The sequence below is a fragment of the Homo sapiens genome, chromosome 5 (assembly GCF_000001405.40).
Source record: "Homo sapiens chromosome 5, GRCh38.p14 Primary Assembly".
In the NCBI taxonomy this organism is placed as follows: domain Eukaryota; kingdom Metazoa; phylum Chordata; class Mammalia; order Primates; family Hominidae; genus Homo; species Homo sapiens.
The window spans coordinates 13,517,044-13,541,663 of NC_000005.10; the positions used below are offsets into that span (position 1 = coordinate 13,517,044).

At 40.2% G+C, this 24,620-nt stretch overlaps 1 long non-coding RNA gene across 2 annotated transcripts in view, besides 1 other annotated feature; it reads right to left on the reverse strand.

The window, feature by feature from the left end:
* Positions 1 to 24,620, reverse strand: part of LOC105374660 (uncharacterized) — a 184,231-nt gene that overhangs the window by 120,924 nt on the left and 38,687 nt on the right. The window lies entirely within an intron of this gene.
* Positions 23,381 to 23,883: an enhancer, noted in NCBI's record as "NANOG hESC enhancer chr5:13540534-13541035 (GRCh37/hg19 assembly coordinates)". NCBI's record gives its function as "activates a minimal SCP1, AML or CMV promoter by ChIP-STARR-seq in naive H9 embryonic stem cells {active_cell/tissue: H9 hESC(naive)}" and the evidence as "EXISTENCE:reporter gene assay evidence [ECO:0000049][PMID:30033119]".

Sequence of the window (24,620 nt, forward strand, 5' to 3'; positions counted from 1 at the left end):
GCTGTTATGCTGGGAGAGCTATGGCTAACAGCACCAACTCTGGCTGTGTGATAACTCAGTTGATCACTGAGTGTCAACTTCATTGGATTGAAGGACCCAAGTATTGATCCCGGGTGTGTCTGTGAGGGCATTGCCAAAGGAGATTAACATTTGAGTCAGTGGGCTGGGTAAGGCAGACCCACCCTTAATCTGGTGGGCCCAATCTAATCAGCTGCCAGTGAATATAAAGGAGGCAGAAAAAATGTGAAAGAGCAAGACTGGCCTAGCCTCCCAGCCTACATCTGTCTCATCTGTCTCCACTGTTAGATGCTTCCAGCCCTCAAACATCGGACTCCAGGTTCTTCAGTTTTGAGACTCAGACTGGCTCTCCTTGCTCCTTAAGCTTGCAGACAGCCTATTATGGGATCTTGTGATGGTGTAAGCTAATACTTAATAAACTCCCATATATGTGTGTGTGTGTGTGTGTGTGTGTGTGTTTGAATATGGAACTAATAGGAGATATATATATATCTCTCTCTCCTATTACTTCTGTCCCTCTAGAGAACCCTTACTAATACAGGCTGTTTTGCAGAGATTATTCTTCCACTTGCTCATTTATGCTCTCCCTGGTATTAAGCTCTCTCAAGTATTCAGAATCCCTTCTCCAAGGGCTTCTGAGTGGTGCTCACCTTCCCTTGATTTCACCATTACCCAGAATCTGCATAATAATATTGAACCTAATCATCTTTCATGAGATGATGCTCTTGTGCAGAAAGATCATTAGGTGACATTTGATTTAGGGTTGGGTGAAATTATGTCTTCTTTGAGCATTTTCAGATATTGTTTGGTCATGTCTGAAAATGAGAGGACCACGTAACAATGTACATATTTGTGTATTGCTTTATAAGAAGCTTCTTCATAGATATTTTACATTTTGTCTTCTCAATGGATCTATGGGACATAAATTAATATCCTTATTTAATGAAGACAGTTAGCCTCAAAGACATTGCCAGCCATGCCTGAGATCACAAAGCTCCTCAGTGGTAGGTGTGAGATTCGAACACAAGTTGGTACGGTTTTGCTTAAGATCATCTGTCACTTGAAATTATTTGAAACTGGAAAATACGGTGATGATGAAGGCTAATTAAATACTAGAATGTGATCCTCTCACTCACTAGGTAAATTTTCACCAAAATCATTCCTTTCTGCTGCATCACACTCCCTTCAGGTGAATTGAGAAACTGTCTCTTCAGGATTTCAGCTCCCTCCTGACTGCACAGCTAATAAATCTTTCTTCCCTGTAAGAGACATGTCATGATCAATATTTTCCTGTGCTGAAAACCCTATGTTTTATCACAAAAGATCTAGCTTCGAACTTAATTCCATTTTGTTCACTTTCATTCTCCTCTTATTCAGATTTAAAAAAAAAAAACATATCAAAAAGAAGTTTTCAAAAGGCAGATTATCATTCCCACATGGGGAACTGTTCTAAATGTGCTTTAGAAAGAGCTTGATGCTGCCAAAATGGCTCAAAAGGCTAACAAGTCCATGGGTGGTTATTAATTGAGAAAGATTATTGTCTGTGTGCTCCAGAGAAGGAGGGAAAAGGCTCTCTGCTCATTATAGCTCTACCCTCTGTTCTTCTCATAACCTTTGTTGGAACTTGCAAGGTGGCAGGCCAGTCCATGGGCTTCAGGCTAAAGGAGGAGAATGCTTAACATGAATAGGTCAAAGAGTGTACTGTCTCATAACGAAATCTCAGAGAGAAGTACTTAATTCCAATGCTGGAAACCTTGTAAAGGTTAATAGCAGGGAAAAAATCCATGGCCAGAAGACAGTCAAATTCACGCCTATCCAGCATGTGTGGTTGTCACCTGAGAGGAAAGCTCTGTGTGTTTAACCACAATGTGAAAGTGAGGAATCAAATCGCTGGCATGACCCAAGCTTCTTTATTTCCTTGATTATTGCCCACATGTAATGTATTATTTGGCATAGTGGGCTTCTCAGAATTTTGATAAAATTACATGACTTCCGCAGTGAGAATTGCATTGGTTTCTCTATCCTTTTTTCCACATCCTGCCATATCATGACAATAAAACACACAAGAACTTCTAACAAAAGTCTTATTAGAATGTTTTATTACCAGAAAACCCCTTTATCATAAGAAACATAAATGCACTGGAAATTTTTCAAAAATGGCTTCTGGTTTTCCCTTGAAATTATAATAAAATGTGATGAAAAATGCGATCTTGTCAACCATTTAGGAAGGAAAGTTAATCCTGAGCCAAAAACTATGTCTTTCAAATATCTCTCCAAATAGTGTGCAAATCATTGTGGTATTTAGAACTTTGAGTTCCAGGAAAGAAAACTGACATCCAGTTCAACTGGAGCTTTAAGAGGGCTAAGTTCTTAGAGATGCCTGTTTTGAAGTCAATTTTGTCAATCACACCAAAAAAATGACTATCTTAAATCTCTATAGCTCTTTAAAAATTACCAAAGACATGTATGATGTCCTCTGACATCCTCATTCAACTTGAAAGGTAAAAAAGACCAGGGGTATTGTGGTCTGCATTTTATTAGTTAGGAAGTTGAGGCTCAAAAACTCCACACAATTTTCTTTAGTTTCAGATAGTAATTGGCACACCTGGGACTCTGGTTCTCTGTGCAGGCTACATTATAACTCACTGATTAATAAATCTATTCTACTTAGCCCAAGAACTGTTAGATGCTTCCAAATCAACTGCAGCTTCAGTTATCATTGAAAGGTTGATGATGCCCAAATCTATCCCTTTGGGCAGACCCACAGACTTGATTTCACATACTTGGATATCCCACGAGATCTTCAAACTTGACATGTTCAAAATTAGATTCACCTTCAACAGGCTACTCCTAATAGCACCATCACTCCTTTGGTTGGTGAAGATAGGTGTTGCAAATAAATTGTTGGAGGGAACTTTCCAGTGTAGCCAAATGCTATTCACTGAAATGCCTCTCTATGGTCTCAGCATTGACAAAGGCATTATGCCATTCTGTATCTCCTCCCACCCCAGGATGTGTTTACATACTGTGTCCCCTCAATATTTTGAAGTCTTTGAAGGCAAGTACCTGTCACTTGATGGACACATCATATTCTATGCTAAGGTTTATCAGAAATCTCTGAAAAGTTTTAAATTTAGAAAAAATGTACGAGGATGGCACAGAGGCTCTCCATATACCTCACACATTTTCCCCTATTATTAACATCAGACATGAGTATGCTACATTTGTCACAATTAACAAACTAATATTAATTATTATTTTCTAAAGCCCATACTTGTCATGTCTACTTAGGCTGCTCTTGGCTGTGACAGTCTCTCAGATTTTCCTTGTTTTTCTTGACCTCAAAAGTTTTCCAGGCCGGGCGCGGTGGCTCACGCCTGTAATCCCAGCACTTTGGGAGGCCAAGGCAGGAGGTTCGTGAGGTCAAGAGATCAAGACCATTCTGGCCAACATGGTGAAACCCCGTCTCTACTAAAAGTACAAAAATTAGCTGGGCGTGGTGGCGCTCGCCTGTAGTCCCAGCTACTTGGGAGGCTGAGGCAGGAGAATTGCTTGAACCCAGGAGGTGGAGGTTGCAGTGAACCGAGATGCACCACTGCATTCCAGCCTGGTGACAGAGCGAGACTCAGTCTCAAAAAAAAGAAAAAAAAAAGTTTTCCAGAGAATGGTCAGTTATTTTGTAGAATGTCCCTCAATTTGTGTCATTCTGAGGTTTTTCTCATGGCTTGACTGTGCTTATGGGTTTTGGGGGAAATACCAAAGGAGTGAAGTGCTGTTCTCATCATATGATATCAGGTGTACGTACTATGAATATGAGTTATCACCGGTGATGTTAACCTTGATCACCTGGCTGATATAGTGGTGATCAGATTTTCCACCATAAAGCTACTCTTTTTCTCCATTCTAATACTGTGCTTTTTGGAAGTATGTCACTATGAGTAGCCCACACTTAGGGGCACAAAGTATAATACTAAAATCATTTGGAATACTGCACAGGAGATTTGTCTCTTTCCTCCCATTGATTTTGTAAAAGGAAAATAAATTGTGGGTCCCCCAAACCACTAAGGGGGAAAAGTCAAATGGAACTGCTTAGGACAAACCTGCCTCCCATTCTATTCAAAGTCATCTCTCTGCTCACTGAGATAAAAGTATATCTGACTGCCTCCTTTGGAAAGGCTAATCAGAAAATCATAAGAACACAACCATTTGTCACTTATCTACCAATGGCCTGGAAGCTCCCTCCCCACTTCCAGTTCTCCTGCCTTTGCTTCAAGTTGTTCTGCCTTTCTGGACCAAGCCAGTGTTCATCTTACACATATTGATTGATGTCTCAGGTCTCCCTAAAATGTATAAAACCAAACTATGCTCAGACCACCCTGGGCACATGTCGTCAGGAACTCCTGAAGCTGTGTCACGGGCGCACGTCCTTAATTCTGGCAAAATAAACTTCCTAAACTGACTGAGATCTGTCTCAGATATTCAGGGCTCACAATTTATTTATTCAATCATCTATTCAACCATTTATTTATGTCAGTATGGACTTACGGATATTTATTTTATACTTTGGGTTATAGATTAATACTTCCTTATTTTGTTGCTCAAATTGTTCCAGCTGTGGCCACTGGGCACTCTTTCATCTGTAAGACCTTTTTTATTCATTAAAAAAATACGAATATAATTTATGTATGCAAGACTGGTTTTTACAATTTGAGAAAATAACATGCCGTGTAATTCAGATGCTGAAGCCCTGTCTTTAATGAACAATAACATTCGACAATAACATTGGATTCTGGGTTTTTTCCCATGCTTTCCCCTCCTTTTCTTACTTCGACAGTTGGAAAAATATATAACTCTTACTGATCTTCATATTGCACCTAACAAATCCCCACATCCAGCTTGGCAGGATAATGAAAGATTTTTATCTCTATTTTACAGATGAGAAACTAAGACACAGAACCACTAAATGGCATGCTCCAAGGCTTTCCACGCCACACTAGGGAAATGAAGCCTGCAATTCATCAGGCCAGCCCAGCCCAGCCCAGCCCTCCTGCAGCGTGCTGGGTCACTGTGGCCTCCCCCTTTCCGATAATGGTGGGCCTTGCAATCAAGGTAGTTATCATGCCCTTTGCAAAGGTTGCACCTCTCCTGCAAAGGTTGGCTGTTGTTTTGCAGTTCCTCAAGCATATTTTGCCTCCTCCTTCACATAGATCCCAGCAGAGCAGGAAATTTCAGCTGCTTTTTAGGACCACCTAGAGTTCTAAATTCCCAGCTCCCCCAAGAAACTTTACAAACAAGCTCCTCGTTTTTGCCCCGATCCCCCAAGACCTTTATTCAACATCCAGTTGCCTGTTAGGTTTAGCCTTCCTTTCAAAACAAACAGGATTCATTTCTGTTTTGAAAAGTTAAGCCCTACTAAGCCACAGGAGATGAGATTTTGAGCTCCCAGTGCTGCATTACATAAGGAGGGAAAAGGAGGACAGAAAAGGAAGATAGGAACGGTGAAATAAAAGTGCCTGGGGTTCTAATCAGCACTTTGCTTGTAATTAGCTTCCTGACCTCAGGCCACCCCCTGGCTCCCTCTGGGCCTCAGTCTCTCCATCTGTAAAACACAAAGGCTGTAGAGATCAGAGCCTTTCAAGCCTGGCAAATTAAAGTCTTCACAGGGATAATTTCATCTTAGACATATATAACTGGAATAAAAGTTTCACTAACTGATACCTTTCTACATGTGTGTGTTCTGATATATTTTAATTTAAAAAATTAACTCTATATTTTAATTGACATGCATTGTATATATATTTGGTGTGTAAATGCGTGTTGTTTTCATGTACGTATACATTGTAGAATGGCTAAATCTAACTAGCATATGCAATACCTCACACACATTTTTTGTGGTGATATTCTGAGAGGTCATGTTCTACCTCATAGCATTTTTTTAAATGCAAGTGGTTTGGGACCCAGTACAACTGGTTTCCCAAGCCATTAACAGATCATGATCTGCAGTTTCCTGAGCGACTAATGATACGGGAGTTAAGAAGAAATCACTTAGGCAGATAGTAAGGATATGGGAGTCCTCAGTAAGGCTTTTCTTTTTCATGCAAAGCAGCCCCAAGTCATTTTCTCACAAAGTCCAGCTGCAGACATAGGCAAGCAAACTGGAAGCTTGCAGGAGTGAATGCTGGCAGGAACGAGGCACTATACATGTTCAAGATGGCGGCTCCAACTTCCCTTCTGTTTGTCAGCCACATGTACTGTAAGGAGCAGACAAGATGGTGCAGATCAACTGGAAAGCCTATTTGCATAATAAGATTAGGATGGGGCTACCAGCCTTCCTTGTGTGCTATGTAAATGTCATACCTGATCGAACCAATCTGTAAGCTTTATGTAAATCAGGCACTAACTCCTCAAACCTGACTATAAAATTCGGTGCATCCACCACCTACGGGTCCTTTCCACTTGGAGACCCGTCTCTCTATGGAGAGAGCTGCTTCTCTTTCTCTTCTCTTCTCTTCTGCCTATTAAACCTCTGCTCCTGAACTCCTCATGTGTGTTGGTGTTCTAAATTTTCCTGGCACATGATCACGAACCCTGGGTTTATACCCCACACAATGTAGCCACTTCACCAACAGATCATGGTCTAAACATTCCAGGGCTAGATGGTGCCTGAGATGCTGTGCAGCATTCTCTTGCCAAACTTCTAAGTCGGGGCTGAACTAGATTCTTACCTCAGAGCCACTAAGTGCATCCTGTAATCCTGCCTACTTGCCCTGGATTTTGTCCTGACTCTGCAGGAACCGCGTGTCCTTAAGCAAGGAGCTCAACTTCCTGAGCCTCAGTGTTTTCATCTTTAAAAGAGGCCTATTGTCAGTACATTAGAAAATGCTCGTAGCAATGCCTAACATTTCATGCAAACTATATGGTGTTTCTATTGTCATAACAGATTTGAGGAAAAATTCTTCTTATCTGGGTCTGAGGCATCTTCCCCAGGGAATGAAGGGGAGTAGTGCAGGCTGCCCACGGGAGGGGTTGTGGGGAGCCAGGTAAATCTTTGGTGTGCTTTTGGGCATAGTTCTCTCTGTTATGCCAATTGGCTGTATTTTTAGGATGTCTTAGGTTATGTGGGTGCTGAAAGTTAGTTCCCTAGATATTCCTCAACAAAGTAAATCAAGTTGCCATTAAATTGCGACAACAGTACCATTTAATCATGTAATTGTCATACTGAAACCACATTTGAAAAAATTACAATAGTGAGAAAATTATGACAGTGAAAGAGATCTAACCAACTTCAACTTGTTTGCAACCTCCAAGCTGCCCTTGTTCATTCCTGGCTTTAGGCTGAACTAACTTTGGGAAGAATTTAGTTTATAGTTTATATGGTAATAACCCTTCCCCAAAACTAAACTGCCTTTGTAAAACTAATCAAAGGTCACCAGGTTAGGAAGATGAGAGGGGCTTGAATTCCGCTAAGATGTAGGTACTGTTAGCCACATTCCAGAGGTCACAAGATTTGCAACTTCCCCAATTCACTATTGTAGAAGCTAAAATTGGCCTTTTGAGATATCCTTTCAGGCTTTTGCATTTCTGACAACCAGATGGCCCCACCCAGACCTGAAACTCTTGGCTCAACTAGTCTTGCGGCCCCCACCCAGAAGCAGACTTAGCACACGAGGAACATTTTCCACACCCTAACCAATCAGCAGCACCCATTCCCTTGGCCACCAAACTGAGGCAGCGTTCCATTTGCAGGGGCACTAGCTCCAGGGGGGGTGGCGGCGGTGGGGAGGTCTGTTCCTGCAGACCCTTGATTCGGTGACAGATGAATAAAGTACACTGACACACAGATATTCTGCTCTGCCAGTCCAGCTGAGGGTCCGAGCCGCTTACAGGCTCTAAGCTGAGTTCTGTAAACAGTTGCAACTTGGCCCCATCAGATAGTGAGGCTGGCATTTGTTCAGTAAGACTAATTAACAAAAGTTGTGAGTAAACACCACTAGAGGGTAAAGATTAAAGGCCAGGTTCTGAGGCTTAAAGCACACCATTTGCAGGTAATAAACTTCTGCCAACTGCTCCCACCTGAGTAGGAGGCGGTATAGTACTGAGGTAGGACAAAGGTCAGTCTTAAGCCCATACAAGTAAACAGGTTACTAAGATAAACTTCCCACATTCCTTTGTACTTGCACCCTCTTTCTGGCTCCTGCAAAGAGACCCTGGCTGCCTTCAGCCAAGCAATCTGAAGCTATGCAAACTCTCAGGCCTTCCAAGAGAGTTTTTGACTATTACTATAACTATCTTTAGTATTTTTCCCACCAGCCTGATGGAACCCCAACACCAAACTACACTTAAAAAACCATAGCCTCTGAATTTTGGGGAGGTTTATTTGAGATTGATTTGTCTACAAGGCATAGCCACCTCATGCCAATTAAACTCATTCTTTATTATAATGCCATGGTCTCAGTGAATTGGTCTTATCTGTGCAGCAGGCAAGAAGAACCCATTGGGTAGTTATAATACCTTATAAAATAGAGGAATGTAGGCTGAAATTAACAACAGAGTCATTTTCAAAGCCCCTTTTACTTTGCCTGGAAATCTCCCTCACTGTATTCTTCCCTCTGTCTTAGCCCCTTCTTACCTGTCCCCAATCCCCACACTCACTCATCCAAGGCTCATGAATAGCTCATCTCCAGGTTCTTCCGCCCTCCAAGAGTGTTTTCAAGTAAGAGAACAGGCTGCCCCATCCAACGCAAGCAGCCTAGTTTGTCAGCAGGTGTCATCTTTAAATGAAGTCTTCTAAGAGTAAGGAGGATTATTTCTACCCTCCATAACACAGCAAGTATAAGAGAAAATTCAAATGAAAAATAAAGAGCCTACATTCTCCCTGTTTAAAATGAGACTTCTTCCCTTTTCTTAGAAAAATTATTTTAGAAAACTTATAATTGTAAATTATTTCTCTATCTCTCTGAAATGTTTATAAATCATTTTAAAATCTACATAGGGGCCAGGCAGGGTGATTCATGCCTATAATCCCAGCACTTTGGGATGCCAAGGCAGGAGTATGGCTTGAGACTAGGAATTCAAGGCCAGCCTGGCAACATAGGAAGACCTCATCTCTACGAAAAATGTTTGAAATGATAGTAAATCTAAATAGGTTTCTTTCCGGTGTTAAGACCCAGGAATATCTTTCTCCAGGACCTGAGAGCCATCTCTTTGAAATGCAATCGTCAAAGAAAATAGCATCCCCATCTTCCAGTTATGTGGGAGGATAGGAGCCTAACAGGTGAGCATGTCACTGCAAGATGTAAAACTACCCCCCACCATAAGATACAATAAGTTTATTTTTCCTTTGGATACAGCCAATTAACTAATATGGATGGTCACTCCAATTACAAGGTGAATTTAGAATGAACTGTGTGTGATAATAGCGCTGTCAAGTCCTACTTGAGAACTGGTTATTATTGATTATGTTGAGAACATGTGTATGTAGTGGGTTGTATCTGCATGTCCATATAATTTTTTTTTTCCTGTCTTCACACTGTCTTAGTGAATTGCCTGTGACACACATTACATTTTGGTTTAATGTTATTCAATGATAAAACTGTTTTTTTCTGTCTCTCTCTCTCTCTCTTTCCTTTGTGGAGAGGTTTTCTAGGTTGTTAGGTGTGTTAGTCACCTTGGGCTACTGTAACAAAATACCACAGACTGGGCGCATTAAACAATACACATTTATTTCTCACAGTTCCGACAGCTGGGAAGTCCAAGATCAAGGTGCCAGCAGATTTGGTTGCCTGCGAGCGTGCTCTTCCTGGCTTGCAGACAGCAGCCTTCTCCTGTGTGTCAGAGGGCAGACAGAGAGAGGGAGCTCTGGTCTCTATTCCTCTTCTAATAAGGACACTAATCTCATCATGATAGCCTCACCCACATGACCTCATCTAACCCTAATCACCTCCCAAAGACCCCACTTCCAAATGCTACTGCATCAGGGGTTAGAACCTCAACATAATTTTAGAAGAACGCATTCAGTCCATAACAAGAGAAGATTATGTATTTAATTGTATTTCCTCAACCCAGGCTGTCCCCTTCCTTCAGTCTGCAATTGGGGTGTGGGTGCAAAATGGCCTGGGAGTCCATAACCCTCCCCTACCCCTCATGGAACACTCTTAGGCAGGTGCTGAGCCAGTAGAGATAAGGTTCTTTGGGACTAGATGCTAAAAGCACATGTTCTTACCAGGGATATTTAAGAAAATCAAGACTGATCAAATCAAGAGGGAAAATTAAGATTCAAATGCTCAGAATTACGGAACTCCTTCATCTCCATATCAGAAATGGACAAGGATGTCATTAAGTTGGAGTCCCTATGAGGGCCTAAGGCAGAGATTCAAATGCACAGGACTTATTAAGGGGATGCTATTGGAGAAGAGAAATGGAGGAAGGAAAACAGAGAGGGGGAATGACATCGTTTAATTATGTGTTCCCACCAAACCTCATGAGGCCTGGTGGGAGATGTCTGAGTCACAGGGGTAGATCCCTCATAGGTGCTGTCCTCATGATAGTGAGTGAGTTCTTGCGGGATCTGATTGTTTAAGTTTGTGGAACCCCCCCACACACACACACAAACACACTCTCTTTCTTGCTTCTGTTTTGTGTCCATGTGACATGTCTGTTCCCATTTAGCCTTCTGCCATGAATAAAAGCTCCCTCAGTCCTCCCCAGAAGCTGCGCAGATGCTGGTGTCATGCTTGTACAGCCTGCAGAACCATGAGCCAATTAAATCTTTTTTCTTTATAAATTACCCAGTCTCAGGTATTTCTTTTAAGCAATCCAAGAACAGCCTTATACAGAGGAAGTCCAGCAACATTATGGTCTCAGCTAGAGAAAAACTTCAGGTTGATCCCACAGAAAGAATCTGGAGCATAATCATAACACAAAATCCTCCCACTTCAAAGCAAAGAAGCTTCCATTCTGCTCCCCCAAATTAATCAATTGCTCATTCAGAGCTGTGTATGTTTTCTGGGTCAAGGTGATTCCTGTCAGCTGAGGGCAATTTTCCAGAAAAGAGGTCACCCTTGAGCCTTTAGCAGCCAATTCTATAGCAGTTAGTGGGTGGGTGCACAGCTTCTCTTCTGAGCTGATATCGATGCCCAGAAAAATGGCTGGGGAAAAATAAGCAAGTGCAGTGAATTAGCACCTGTTTTAAAGAGCTAAAATCATGTGTGAGGAGGTGACCTGGATTGTGAGGAAAAGGCCACCATGACCCCTTCTAGACCTTTAATTCTATCCAGCCACTTTTAAGCACACGGAAAGGATCTTCTCTTCTGCCTTGCCCCCTTTCCAGTCTTCTTTAAATGGGAGGGTGGCAGCATAATTTAGAGGACTTCTAGTGGCCAGTGGGAACTCCTTTCAAAAGTGTGAGCAGACCAGCGACTGCAATATGATTCCAGAAGCAAAGCCAGGATCAAATAGAGATTAGAGTTTGGAAAAAGAGCAGCATCAAGCAGCCAGCCCATGCTACTTCTGTGAAATATGCCATGCTAGATGTTACAAAAAGCCAGGAGACAGAACTATTATTAGTCCCATTTTACAAATGAGGAAACGGAACATAGATCCCTTAAGCAACCTGTCCAAAGTCTTGGAACTAGTATAAGTGAAAATTCTAATCCCAAACCTATGATTTCAAAGTGCAGACGGTAATCTCTGTAGTACAGTATCAAAGACATGAATTCTGTTTCTGCTCAGTGTGAACTTAGGAAATCCCTAAATATCTCTGACCCTCAATATATTCATCTGAAATGAAATATCCTAACAGAAGTCCTACTGCCTCAGAGAATCAAGCAACACAGCAGATACGAAGTGGCTCAGAAAGGTCGAAAGCTTTTATTTTGAAGTAAAAGTATAAGCATTGTTAATTAACCTGACTGTGAAGGGGATAAGAAATCAAAGAGTCCTGCTAAATGGAAAATTTATTAACACACTAAGAAAACAACAAAGTAGAGAATTGCTTGGAGAGCCTTCCCTGGCTTCCTGGCCACCATGGAATCACGGAGCATACTCCAACCATGGCACCAAGTCAACCCCACAAGCTCCAGCAGAAGCATCTTCGAAAGGGCTCTTGAGTGTGCCATTCACATGAAAGACATGCCTGTCTGTGAAGATCCAGGCTGTTTCTTGGTGATATTACAGGGATATTTTACATCTGCGACCTGGCAAGTGGTTTCCTGCAGCATCCTTATGTATTTTATAGTTTTTATTATATTTCTGAGCCAGCAGTGATAAATGCCCTCTAGAAAGAATCCTATTCTCATGTGAAAAGAAGAGAAGGAATAAAAAATAAGCAGGCTTTATGGCCACAGGAATGTTTGATGTCTGACCAGCACTAACTGTTGCTGTGCAGAGATGGAAAATTTTTCAAGAAGAATGTCAGGATTGACTGCATTAACCTTGAAACATTGGTCCCTTTGGGCTGTAAATTTCTGCAATCTCTGGAGGCAAGGCTATTCGGAAGGGAACAGCAAGGGCAGGGCAGTAGGAGAGGAGGGAAATAATCCTTGCTTCAGTAGCAAAAAGAAAGATCTCTGAAACTTAATCTTGGGAAATCTCAAGGACAAAATACCACTGATCTATACTGGCCTTCTGAATGAAATGTATAATTTGTTAGGTAGAAATTTTAAAACTACCACCCTCTCCAGGAAAACAAATCTGATTAGAACGGTTTAAAATACAAATGTACTTACTCCTATTTTACCAGTGGGAAACTAGAATTCTGAAGAATTAAGCAATTTAGAAGTGATGGAATTATAGGATTTCAGTTTTGAAGAATCCTTAGATAGCAATTTGTCTGTGATGATTTATAATGTAGGAATCCCCTAAAACCAAAGCCTGGTTTGCCATAATAAGGATCCTAATTCCCAGAGTCCATTGAAAAAAGTACCATGCAAAGAGTGAGATATAATATTATACTAATTCTTCCACCGGTATCCAGAGGACTAGCCACAGTGACAGTATGTATAGAATTGAAAGGACCAGAGGTGAGAAATAAACTAGATAAAGCAGCTGAAGCTGGGAAAATGGTGAAATCAATGAGTTCTTCAATATAATCTGCTTCTCTGCTTTCAGAAGATCTGCTGAAAATGAACTGACAATAGGCAGATTAATAGAAGAAAAGGCATACACATTGATTTAACATGCATAAGCACAGGGCAATTGCAACCGAATGATTTCCTAACAACCTAATGAGGTATAGATGCTTACATACCCTTCTGTCAGAGAGGAAGGGGAGATGAGAGTAATGTGGCCTTTTTGAGGAGTGATAAATGATTTTTAGGGGGAATGAATGGGTCTAATGCTCAGATAATGGTTAACAAGTGTTTCTCTTTGGGAATTGAATGGGACCAGAGAACAGATAATAGCTTGGGAGAAAGTTCCTCTAGGCTGTAGATGTGGTGTTTAATTTTTAGTTTTTCTCTGTGATATGTGATATGTCTCTTAATTTTCTCTGGTTAATGACATTTCACAGGGCTGATTGAAGGCAACTGTGTTCCTCTTTGGCGGGTCCAGTTTCTAGGTAGATAAGAGAACTTCAGAGAACAACCTTACCCTGTGCTTTGAGAGAGACAGAGGATTGAAGAACAGGAGAAGGAGGAAGATCAGAGAGACCTTATGGCTGCTTCTTTAGCTCAGCAAGTCAAAGCACCATATTTTGGGGTATGGTTTTCTGAGCCACAATACTGCTGATATTGATGAAAATATAATTTTATATTATGTACCAAAAAAACACAGTTCAGTTGATGCACAAATTTTAGAAATTCACTACTCCACTTAACATAAACTAGTTCATAAAACTTAACAGTAGAATGTAAGAAAAATGTTAATTTATATATGGTAACATAAACTCTAAACTAGAAGAATCACCTTCCATTTAAATAACTATCTAACAAAGAAGGGGTAAATTTCAGAAACCACAGCTGAAAAATACCATTTTTCTTTTAACGGTTTTGATCAATAGCACTGATGCTCAGTCACTCCACATTTTGGATCTGCAAAATCCTTCCCCCACCCCTCCAGTGTTCTTTCTTTCTACTGGATTATATATACCATTTGGTTTACTTTGTGTGATATTTGCTTTGCCTGTTATCTACTTCATTCCTGCCCTCCCCTTCCTACTTCTTCTTTTTTTTAAAAAAATTTGGTGCTTGTTGAAGAAGTTGGATTGACAGCCCAAGAGACCAAAATCCTCTGTTTATCCAGAGAAAAAATAAAGAGAAAAGCAATGAGACTGAGCGCTCCCTGACCTCCAGTGTAGTTCACGTTACTGTTGAGCCCCTGGCTCTTAGAAGCTCCCACAGAGGTATTGGTGACCTGTGAGGCAAGGTGCAGGGCTGGCTGGCTTCTGGGGAACTACCTGATGTCTTGGCATTCAATGTGAGTGGTAGGATAAAATCTGCAAGGAGATATGAAATCCATAGCTCTCCTAGCTGTCTCATTTTTTACCCCAACCTGCAGTGAATTTGGCATAGTTCAGATACCATGCTTTCAAAATTTTGTGTGTGTGTGTATGTGTGTGTACACGCGCGCATGCATGACGGTGTACATACCTGTAGTGCATTCTCTAACTTTCTGTGTATTCTATCACCTAGAAACCTTGTTAAACTGCAGATTGTAATTTGAATGGTCAATATGTAGCCTGAAATTCTGCATTTTGAACAAGTTCTTTGGTGATGCTGAGGCTGCTGACTCAGGAATCACTTTTTTTTTTTTTTTGAGATGGAGTCTTGCTCTGTCACCCAGGCTGGAGTACAGTGGTGCAATCTCAGCTCACTGCAAATTCCACCTCCCCGGTTCAAGTCATTCTCCCGCCTCAGCCTCCCAAGTAGCTGGGACTACAGGCGCCCGCCACCACGCCCAGCTAATTTTGTTTTTGTATTTTTAGTAGAGATGGGGTTTCACCGTGTTAGCCAGGGTAGTCTCGATCTCCTGACCTCGTGATCTGCCCGCCTCGGCTTCCCAAAGTGCTGGGATTACAGGCGTGAACTACCGTGCCCAGCCCCAGGGATCACATTTTGAGTGGCAAGGGTTATGTTTACTAGAGAAAGACCAGAGGTATTTGCCACCCATCAAATATAGTTCCTCCCTCAATTATTTCTAGAGTTGGTTTCATAATAGAAATAAGGAAATTACCTTGATACTTCAGCCATTAAATCCCTCCAGGGTAAACATCATCACTTTCTGTATTGGCTCATTTTCATCATGGTGGCAAACACCGATGGGATAAGGAATCTATGATTCAGGGAGAATCTATGTTTGCTTAATAAATGTTCTATTATGTACAACGTCCTAGCAGTACTTGGGCCATATGGTCTGTAGAGCCTAGGCTACTCATCCCTTTCCCATATCCTTAAACCTGGGCTAACTGTTAATTGGTACAAAACTGCTCAGCAGGTAAGGAGCTTGCTCTAGGAGCCTCCAACAGACAAGAATCATTTATGACCCTACCTTCAGCTGGAGACCAGACCAAATTTCATTCTCCAAACAATTGTGTCATTTTGTCTGCTTTTATCATAGTGGTTGCTTCAACATGCTACCATTTTGGGTAACAATGAGCAATATGCCTAAAATTTTATAAAATAGCTAGATAATGACTCTTGTCCATGAAATAAACGTTAATTTTTTACTTTGGGGGAATTAAGTACCTAGACTACTAGTCTATCCTCAAGGCAAAATCCTAGGGCATTTGCTTATGTAAAGATGTGACAAGATCTACATTAGCATTAACTAGTCAAAATTTTAAAGTTTTTTTCCTCGTAATTGTGAGCCATTAACAGTAAGTTTGACCCATGATGGAAATGTTCAGCTTCCAAGGGACACTTTTTCCAAAGTGGTATAAAAATCCATGGATAGGAGAAGGACATTGAGGACACAAAAGTTTCATGTGGAAGAATTTTTTTAGGGTTGAAAGTTGGGAGTTTCTGAGTGGAAAATTTTCAGAGGGTATCACAATTTGCAGACCTCTTTTGGAACATAACTGACTTGGCAGAGACACTCTCTTTCTCCCTATGACCACCAGAAACCTTACACAAACCTAAATAGTGAGACAAAAAAATCAAAAAGTGAGTAAAGTTTATAAGGGGGCACATTTCATGTCATTTTTCCCTTTATTTTATCTTTTAAAATTTTTAAATTATTCTGTTTTTTAATCCAGCATCATGTTCAGATCAACAAGACAGCAACCATTAGCCCCTCACATCACTGCACTTGCCTTTCCTCCTCTGAGTCTACACCTTATTTTCAATGATCTCTCAATATGACATTATTATACATTTATGTCAGAAGAAATGACTTATTCTCTCTGTTCTAGAAAAACAAACATTATCTTATTTTTCTAGAGGATTTCTTTTCATAAGACCAGATTTTTGCTCTTTAAATACTTTCTAATTTTTAAAGGCTTTTTCTTAACAGTTAAGAGAAAGATCTTCTGAATTATACAATAAATTCTGTTAAAAATAGAGCAATGGTCACTTCTCATATTCAATAGAAATCATGCTTATTTTCAGAAATGTCTAGGTTTGAGATCACTGGATTAGTGAAGTTGGAATATTCTGTAATAAGATTATCTTATATATGAAAAGGAGTTATATGCTAAATGTAAAGTATGCTATCTTAAAAATGTTTATTCATTTAGGCCTAAGATTTCTAAGTCCTCATTTAACAGCCTAGTGGTCTAAAAGCGTATCTCCCAAAGTTGCTAAAAGAGATGCCTACAACCAAATTTCCTAAGTTATCTTCTTCATAAGACCAATTATGGGAATTAGTAGCAGGTATCAATTTCAGAATAAAAATTTATAGTCATTTAAATTCAAAAAGCACGAATCCAAACAAAGTTTAACAGACGAGTTACTGCAGGGCTTCCCTGAGCTTTTACAGGTTCATACCAGAGACTGGCTGAGTGCTGGCCAATTCCATTTTCTATTCTGAGACACTTAGGATTACTACATTTTCCAGCTGCTTTATTTTTAGATTGGGGCCATAGGACTCATTCTGTCCCATAGAATCTGGGAAGAGTGATATGTGCCATTTTCAAGCCTGACCATCAAACATGCCACCTCATTATCTTTTCACTCTTCACTCCTTGGGTAGCTGAATTCAGAGCATCCCTTAGAGAACTCCAAGAAAGCTCTATAAGATGAAGGTACCAGAAAATGGAAGGAGCCATATCTTTAAATCACCACATAGAAGACCATGTCTTATAACCCAAGTGAAACCTTGCTTGTGTGAAGCTACTAAGAAGTTAGAGATGCTTGTTATAGCAGATGGCTTCAATCACCCTAACTAGTACATGTGCTAAGCACTCTGTGAATCTCCAAGGAGTGGATAAGTAGATAGCATTTCCTAAAGTTAATTTCAAGTGATTTTTCTTTCATGCAAAATTTTGAGATATTATTACTCCACTAGTTTAGCCCCATCTTGAATGCCATTCACAAGCCTTCTTCTATAATTAAGTTTCTGAATCAGGCTTGCTCAATGTAATCACATAGCAGAAGAGGAAGGTAGACTAGTCCATCCAAGAAATGTGGCAGAAGGGGAAGTTGAAAAGGTTTGAAAAATAAGAAGACATGCCCTGCCATTGTTGTGAGCAGGCCACATCAAAAACATGAAAACGATTGTGGCTGCCTCTAAGAACAAACTGGTCCCTGGCTGACAGACAGCAAGGAAATGGGAACCTCAGTCTCCTAACCGCAAGGCAGTCAATTCAGCCAACCAGCTGAAGGATCCTGGAAGTAGATTCTTCCCCAGAGCCTCCAGAAAGGACCACAGCCCTGGCAAAACCTAGATTTTTCCCTTTTGGGATTCTAAAAAGAAGACCAAGCTGAACCATGCTGCATCTAGACTTCTGATCTACAGAACTGAGACATTATATATTTTTGTGGCTTTTGAGTCAATAGTTTATAGTAATTTGTTATGGTAGTGATTGAAAACTAATATGGAAATTGACACATTAATGTATTCCTTCCTTCAACTCCTACCAGTGGAGTGATTACTCTAAGCAAGGCTGTAAGTAGTAGAAATGCAAAGTTAAGATGAAATGGCTCAGGACTTTAATCCTTCCAGCCACCGCCCCTCCACCCCACACAGTGTCCCAGGTCACTGGGCCTTCCATCCTCACCTGGCTGTCAGGAGGCACCCCTCTTCTCCCTGCAGGGGGTGTCAGAGGAGGCCTAGAGTGGAGTCAGGATTTTTACCATCACACAGCAGTAATTAGGCCATGTTCCCTGTGGTGTCAGAGGTGATCATGTGGGGAACCAAGTTTCACGTCCCTCTCAGCAGTGACAAGGAGGCAGAGGCCCCTCAACCAGGGGTCATGGAGGCTAAATGGATAACCTGAGCTAAAGAGAAGGAGAGTTTAAAAGAGGGGTAAAATCAGTGTCAAATCTGACACACACAAAAATTAGGTAAAATAATTGTTTGCAAAAGCTTCTATTGTGTATTTAGAGACCACTGTGACTTTAGACAGAAAGTAATTTGTAATGGATGGTGGGGTTGCAATGGATAATCTTCTGAGTATAATTAATATTATATAAAAGTAGACACAAAGTAAAATTTGTTGTTTTTAATAAAACTTGACTATGAAGAAAGGTATAGGGAGATGACTCGAGGTAAACAGGGATGTCTGTTATACAAGAAGAAAGGGACATAGCTATGCTTATACAATGAAGAGTAAAGGCCTTGAGAGAAAAACAGGTGAACAATTTCAGAGCAGGAGTGATTGGCTGTTACAGTTCTCCAGAAGACCGTGGGACTCCAATTACCAAGGGATTAGCCTTGACTAGGGAAAGGCTTCTATCTTGAAGACAAGATTGCAGACCAAGGAGGAAGGCTGAGCAGAGAAACGTGTTTTTAGTAGCAGGGAGTCCAATCAGTAGAATGCTCCTGCAATGGTTTGGGGATTTTCTCAGGAGGTTAGAGGCACAGTAATTTCCTAATAGTAAAGAGACAGAGATGTTAAGTGTTTTTAGGATTGCCTAAGACAGTCACAGTGAACAAGTATAATTAAAGACTGATTCTTTGATCAATAATTATAATAAATTAGAGTAACAATGTTTTAAATAATTGTTTCTTTTGAGCATTTGCATTATTTTGAAAAATCATTTCTTGTCTTCCTTGGTAATAAAAAAGAACATTAGTAAAATTGCAATGTTTTGCCAGTCGTTTTAAAAAGTGAATTATAGCTCTGCCATCTCCGAGGTATTTTCAGCCAATTTCTACAATTTATTTGGGAAGCATAAACCAAAAAAAAAAAAAAGCCATATTTTCAACTACACAATCAGGAAAGGAAGATCACTTAATAACATTTTTCTCCCTCAATCAGTGCTAGGCTACATCATTACTCATTGGTAATAAGTGGCATGTTCCTGTTTTTTGCCTCTATCTTTATTTTCTTGTTTGTTACAAACAGAGCGCAAGTGTGACTTCCTGTCCTAGGGAACGAGAGTCCGGTCCTGATCTGAAGAACCCAAGACACACAGTCTGTTGCATAAGTGTCAGAGACATCCGACATACAGGATATTTGCTAGGCTTGATGCCACACACCTGTAGTCCTAGCTACCCGGAAGGCTGAGGCATGAGGATTGCTCGAGCCCAGGAGCTCAAGGTTACAGTGAGCTATGATCCTGCCACTGCACTCCAGCCTGGGCAACAGAGTGAGACTCAGTCTCTAAAAAAACTAATAATAATTAAATAAGTAAGTAAAATAACCAACACACAGGGGCTCAGAGACAGTGAAGCAGGAAGGGGGCATGTTACCATCACAACAGCCAGTCTTATCAGTAAGCTCTGGAGAGACCTGAATAGAATGAAAATGTGGCTGAAGACATGCAAGAGAACAGAAGCCTGGTTAGAAGACCCCTTGACTGAGAAAGAAAAAGAAAATCATTTTTAAAGCTAATAATACTTTTCTCTCTCCCCACCTCCACTTTGATACTAATGTCACGTATCCGCACAGGAATGCCTTCTCCTAATTCCCAGTGCCTGGACTGAGCAAGAGAGCAGTATTGTATACATTTCCAAACTGTGTACGTCAGCATGACTAAGTACATCAGGCACACACGCTGTCTCAAGCTCTGTAAAATTGCACTTTTGTTGTTGTTGTTGTTGTTTTACCGTGGGTTATAACTGAACTCCACCCAGCAGTGAAGTCACATCTGGAACATTTAAAGACAGGCTGGAAACATAAAACACTTACATATTATCTTGTGAGGTAATAGAGCATCTCTTTGTATTATGATTTTTTCCATATCACCAACCAAAAAAGGAGTCATGGAAAGATTCTAGAAAAGTTAGATGATGCTTGCCGTAGGTCTACCACAATTTAGTCAAGGGCTTCTTCAAGATACTTGACTACTTTGGAGCTCAGACATACTTAAAAGGGAAAATTAAATTAGATCTTTGATTTGTTGAGGTCCATACATATTCAAGAATCTAATGAAAGTGTTGGGCTCCAGTTCTGAAATGTGAACTCTTTGATGACACAAATTTCAGAAACGTCATGAGTCACTGCAGTCCAGTTATGGACTGTATTATGAATTAATTGTGTCCCCCAAATAATATGTTCAAGTTCTAACCCTGGGTACCTGTAAATGTGACCTTATCTGGAAACATGGTCATTGCAGATGCCATCAAATTAAAATGAAGTCATACTGGAAAGGAAGAAGGAAGGACATCCTAAACCCAATATGATTGACATAAGAAGAAGAGAAGAAGAGACACAGACACACAGGGAAAATACCATGTGATGATGAAGGCAGAGATTGGACTGATGCATCTACAAGCCAGCAAACACCAAGGATTGCTAATAACCACCAGATGCTGGAAATGGCAAGGGAAGATCCTCCCCTGGTGCCTTCCAAGAGAGCATGATCTGGCTGACACCTTGATTTCAGAATGTTAGCCACTATAACTGTGAAATAACAAATTTCTGTTGTTTTATGCCACCTAGTTTGTGGTGCTTTGTGATGGCAGCCTTAGGAAGTGAATATAGATTCCATGGCAAGAAGCTCCAGACAAAGTGATTGCAAGGTTTCTCTGTCTCTCACATCCACACACACTCCATCAGAAAATCCTGCTGACTTAACTGCAAATTACATCCAGGGTCTGACCATTTTCACTAACTCCCATTCTAGTTCTCTAGTCCAAACCACTGTCCATCATCTCTAGTTTGGATATCCAGATATTTCTCAATGGTAGGGCTAGTCAATGCTAGGCCACACACACCATTACTTATTGCTAATAAATGTCATCTTCCCTCTTTTTTGTCCATCTCTTCATTTTCTTTCTTTCTTGTTACAAATCAGTGTGGACAAAAAACAGGACTTCCCAACCAGGAGTTGGCAAACTAGGGCACATGGGCCCCATCCCACCCAAAGGTGCCAATTTTCCAGGAGAATTCCCGGGTCTGCTATGCCGAGGACAGTGTCAAGGCTCTTGAGAGATTACACAGAAGCTGCTTCCACAATCTAGAGCCCTTTGCATTTACAAACTTTGTTCTTAAGTAAACTTTTATTGGAATACAGCCATGTCCATTCATTTATGTTTTGCCTATGGTTGCTTTCATGCTACAATAGCAGAGCTGAGTGGTTGTAAGAGACTATGGCCGGCAGAGCCTAAACTATTATTTGAACCTTTACAAAAAATGTTTTCCCATGTTCTAGACTATATGGGATCCTGGAATTCTCTGTCCACAAGGTTCAGAACCCCCTTCTGGAGCTAGATGAGTTTCTTCTCCAAATCTACTCCCTCAGGAATAGACTGTGTGCCAGATGTGTACACACTGTGCCTTGGCAGGAGTGGTCAAAGATTGGTGACTTGCTGAAATGTGGTGTGAGTTATGCTTGGACATGCAAACTGCTGTGTCCACACGCATAGGTGTAAGTTTCCTGGATTGGAGGATGAAGTTGGGAGTGGGAAGAAAATGGCTTCCCTATGCTGCCACATTCCAGTGAGAAAGTCCACAGGGTCCAAGAATTCTAAATTTGCAACTGGTCTTATTGATTGCTATGAAGAAATATTTGCCAAGGTTGGAGGAGAAAACACATTTTATTTAACATATTTTAGGGTGATGTATAACTTTAAGTATAGTCGTGAGCCACATCATAATGTTTTAGTCAAGGACAGACTGCATATATAATGGTGGTCCCATATAATTATAATACTGTTGTATTTTTGCTATACCTTTTTATGTTCAGATACACAAATGCTTACCACTGTGTTACAATTGCCTATGGTTATTCACTACAGTAAAACTCTGTGCAGGATTGTAGCCTAGGAGCATTATGCTATACAGTATCACCTAGGTGTGTAGTAAGCTATACCAGCTAGATTTGTGTAAGCACACTCTATGATGTTCGCACAACAATGAAATCGCCTAATGACAAAATTGCCTAACAACACATTTCTCAGAATGTACCCCTGTTGTTAAGCAATGCATGACTGTATGCAAACATATAGGTTGTGAACTTTCATTGGACTTGTGCACTGTTAACTGTTAATGGATCTGCATTACGGGAAGATGGTGGTAGACTTTAAATTCTGTTTTCTATAGATTAATTAAACTGGAAGTTTCTTTCCATAGGACATACAGCCTCATGTACTCCTGCATAGATATTTTATAGTAACCATAGCCTGGCCAGCTGTGGTCTGGGAGAAGTGAGATTCCACTTCCATACAGGCCAGGAATTGTGCTATTTCCCTTACATCTCTGTGATTAAAGATTACAGAAATTGATAGCAGGCAAAATTAGAGCATATTTGACCCCAGAATAAGGGTCCATTAATCTATTGATGTTCTGTAAACTCAATTGATAAGAACAAGGTTAAGGAAAACAATAGTTTTAGCTAATCTTCAAGTTCTGGTTTTGTTGAAACCAGTGGTCTTTTCAGTAGCCCATCAGAATTTGCAAGACTGTCTCTCAATTCTTAGAATCTTCATCAGCAGAACATGAGTCAGCTGTGAAAACATTTGTAATTTATTCTTTCTTTCATTCTATTTACCAATCAGCCAACAGGTGAATTTAGATATAAATCATTGTAATTATTGTGTGATTATATGTTTATATACTTTAGTTATGTTATCAAGCTTTGCCAGTGGCCGCTATTACAAGTTGCTCTAGTGAAATATTCCTGATGTTTGCTATTAGAAGAGTCACTGTTGAGTTTTCAGCCATAGATTCTCACAACATTCGTTCAAGAGATTTTCATCAAGAACCATATGCCAGGCTGTGCACATAAATAGAATTGCTAATTATGTACCAGTGTGGACATATCAGCTCACAACATAGATGCAGTTCATGCTGTAATGGAACTTATGATCCAGTGGATGAGTCAGAAATTAAACAAAAATTGGTACCAAAAATACTTACATGAGTTTTTCTTACATGCTAGGAAGGACCAGTGAAAGATTTATAAAGCAGTTATCAAAGATGAACCAGCCCTAACTGGCAGGGAGCAGGGTAGGTGACAGAAAGCTTCTTTGAGGAAATTACATTTAAATGGGGGCCAGTAGAATGCAGAAATGTTATCTGAGCAAAAACAAAGCAGTTGTAATGGCCCTGCAGCAGGAAAGAACCAGCTTTGATTAACTGAAGAAAAACCAAAACCAATGTGGCTGGAGGAAGTTAGCAAGGTAGAAAATGTATCAAAGACTGAAGAGGGGTGCAGGAGCCAGATGAGAAACAATGAGTCCTTAACACATCTGAGATGGGTTGGATGGTAGGTATTTTAGGCATAGTGAGCGAAATGGCAAAATCAAGGATATTATGCAGGTTTGTATATATCAGGAAACAGAACAAATTCCCATATTTTTAGTGACAAAAATCAAGATATACTGCTACTACTACTAATAACAGGTAAGTATTTTTTGTAATGCAGCTCTATTAATAAACTTCTTTTGCAGGGGGATAACATATTGCTTAATATGCCTTCAAAGTGAATGTTTCCTATGACTAAATTGATTAAATTTTATGTATTTTATCTTTGAAAATGTCTTTTCACACATCTATGTACTAGCAAATATTGATCTGAATCCATGAGCACATGATTTTGTTTGAGCATGTTCATCCTGTAGAACCAGGCATTTATAGAATCCTTCTACAGTAGATTCTTCTCTTGATATTTGCCTTCTAGCATGTCATTACATTGCAGATTCATCCTTTCCAATGGAAAGTTAGGTGGAAGCTCCTCAATGCATAAACAGATTTTGAAATACAAAAATTCCCTTTGCACTTGCATTAAAGTCCAGAAAGCACTGCTGAAATTATAAGTGGAGTCTGTGGAAAAGTTGTTTGTTTTATTATATAAAATGATGCTTGATAATCTTTCTTCTAGAGTCCTCAGGAGGGACAAAAATGTAAGATTCTAGCCCATAATTAAATGGTAGTTTGTTACCTTAAATGATATGCAGTTTTGTCTGTTTTAAAAATTTTGCCTAATTGCCTTAGCAGAAACCAAAGTTTCAGCTGTCCAGAATTCAATTTCTATTTCAAACATTATCACTATTCTTTCTGTTTTAGTTAAAATATTTTGGCTATTTACCAATCTTATGGATAAAATAAAGGGAAACATAAG